Raw genomic sequence first — 2,775 nt, 5'->3', positions numbered from 1 at the left:
GAGAAGGCAATATTCACAATTTCTTTTTTCTTTTCTTTTCTTTTTTTTTTTTTTTGAGACAGAGTCTCGCACTCTTGCCCAGGCTGTAGTGCAGTGGCACGATTTCGGCTCACTGCAAGCTCTGCCTCCCGGATTCTCGCCATTCTCCTGCCTCAGCCTCCCGAGTAGCTGGGACTACAGGCGCCCACCCCCACGCCCAGATAATTTTTTGTATTTTTAATAGAGATGGGGTTTCACCATGTTAGCCAGGACGGTCTCGATCTCCTGACCTTGTGATCCGCCCACCTTGGCCTCCCAAAGTGCTGGGATTATAGGCGTGAGCCACTGCGCCCGGCCAATATTCACAATTTCAAAAGGACTATCTGGGAGTTTTAGTAGTCTGGGCAAGCTGATTGCTCTAACAAACAACCCTTACACTGAGCAGCTTAACACAATAAAACTTTATTTCTCACTCATGTCACATTTTAATGTGGGTCAATGGGGCACTCTACTCCATGCAGTCATGCAGGGATCCAACTCTACCTTGTGGCTCCACCCTCCTTTAGGTTCTTGGATCTTCTCCTTCCAGCCAGCAGATGGGAAAAGAAAAGGAGCATCCCATGTAGAATGTTTTAATAGGCCAGGTCTGGACGTAATGTTTCCAATGGGTAGAATTTAGTCCCTTGTCCACACCTAACCTCAAAGGAGACTGGAAAATGCAGTCTAGCAGTGTGCCCAGGAAGAAGTGAGGAGCACAGATGTTGGTGATTACTAGTGGTTTCTGCCATAGGACTCATTTCTTTCTTTCTTTTTCTTTTTCTTTTTTTTTTTTTGAGATGGAGTTTCACTCTTGTCACCCAGGCTGGAGTGCAATGGCACGGTCTTGGCGCACTGCAACCTCCACTTCTCGAGTTCAAGTGATTCTCCTGCCTTAGCCTCCTGAGTAGCTGGGATTACAGGCACCTGCCACCACACCTGGCTAATTTTTGTATTTTCAGTAGAGACAGTGTTTTACCATGTTGGCCAGGCTAGTCTTGAAATCCTGACCTCAAGTCATTCTCCCGCCTCAGCCTCCCAAAGTGCTGGGATTACAGGCGTGAGCCACCGTGCCTGGGCAGGACTCATTCATTTCTTCATGCACTCATTCATTCATAAATACTTACTGAACAGTCATTATGTGCCAGATACTAGCTAAGAAGATAGGACTTCAGAGTATCTGCCTTCAGGAAAATACAGTCTTGGTCTTGAATCCTCACCTACTAGCTGTGTAAGTTTCATCTGTTTGAGCTGCTAGGTAGGGATGAATGGAGCTTGCAGTGCCATTGTGAGGGCTGCATGAAATAATATATATGAAGCCCCTATCATGTTTACATACATGTAAATGACCTATTCTGCATTGATCATATGTTTTCAATATTATTTGCTATTACTGTTAAGACACAGAATTCACACAATGCTTGCTTTCCCCTCAAATCTCAAAATAGTAGATTTGTGCTATCACTTTCACTGTTTACAAATTAGCCGGGTTTTCCTTCTATCCAAACACCATTTTTCCAAATACAAAAAATACTTAATTCTTCAACCCAAGTAGTTTATGGTTTTTATTATAGCCCATTTGTGCCCTTCATATTGAGAAAAGAAAAACATTCATTTGAAAGCCTAGAAGCTATTGGCAGTATAATCAGTGGGAGTACCAGCGAAAGGAATCGCATAGGTTTGCACAATAAAACCTCGAGTTTGAGGGACAAAGAGGTCTAGCCATCCACTGTTGTGTTCACATTGGCCACTAGATGGCAGTGTCTCACAGGAATATGATGACCCACTCTGGGGCACTAATGGGTATTTGCTCTTGGACTTCAAGTCTTAACTTCAAAACAAACTAAAGAGAGATGAAAGAAGCAGCATAAAAATATTAATTTTTTTGTTCTTAAACTTGTGAAAAGAAATATCTCTAAACACTCTCAAAATGTTCTCTTGTGACATTTTATATCCATTTTTATACCTTGAGGCCAATAGAAATAATGCAGTTATTAAAGTTTATGAACACTGACTGTGTGTGCACGAGGCTCTTGGAGTTTTCTGAGTCAGTTTCTGAGTGCCCTTTGAGCTTGATTTCTATTCTTGGTTTTCCATGCACATTTGGGAGCTGGTCTTGATTGAAGCTGCTGATAAAATTCTCATTTTTTTCCTGGTTAAAAAAAAAAAAAGGCTGGGCGCGGTGGCTCACGCCTGTAATCCCAGCACTTTGGGAGGCTGAGGCAGGCGGCTCACGAGGTGAGGACTTTGAGACCAGCCTGGCCAACATAGTGAAACCCCGTCTCTATTAAAAATACAAAAAAAAAAAAAAAAAAAAAAAAATAGGTGGGCGTGGTGGCGGGTGCCTGCAATCCTAGCTACTTGGAAGGCTGAGGCAGGAGAATCACTTGAACCCGGGACGCAGAGGTTGCAATGAGCCGAGATCGCGCCACTGCACACCAGCCTGGGCGACAGTGTAAGACTGTCTAAAACAAACAAACAAAAGAAAACGAAACACAAAAACGCCAGGCATGGTGGCTCACGCCTGTAATCCCAGCAATTTAGGAGGCCATAGTGGGCGGATGGCTTGAGGCCAGGACTTCGAGACAAACCAGGCCAACATGGTGAAAACCTGTCTCTACTAAAAATGCAAAAATTAGCCGGGCGTCATGGCGGGCGCCTGTAGTCCCAGCTACTTGGGAGCCTGAGGCAGAATTGCTTGAACCCAGAGGGCAGAGGTTGCAGTGAGCTGAGATCGTGCCACTGCACTCCAGCCTGAGC

The 2,775-nt window shown here is 44.5% G+C and overlaps 1 annotated feature.

The window, feature by feature from the left end:
• Nucleotides 1,686–1,735: a silencer, noted in NCBI's record as "silent region_1671". NCBI's record gives its function as "represses an Ori minimal core promoter by ATAC-STARR-seq in GM12878 lymphoblastoid cells {active_cell/tissue: GM12878}" and the evidence as "EXISTENCE:reporter gene assay evidence [ECO:0000049][PMID:35858748]".

Source organism: Homo sapiens, chromosome 1, assembly GCF_000001405.40.
Source record: "Homo sapiens chromosome 1, GRCh38.p14 Primary Assembly".
Classification (NCBI taxonomy): domain Eukaryota; kingdom Metazoa; phylum Chordata; class Mammalia; order Primates; family Hominidae; genus Homo; species Homo sapiens.
The sequence above is the reverse complement of the archived record's forward strand: the minus strand, read 5'-3'. Positions and strand labels throughout refer to the sequence as shown.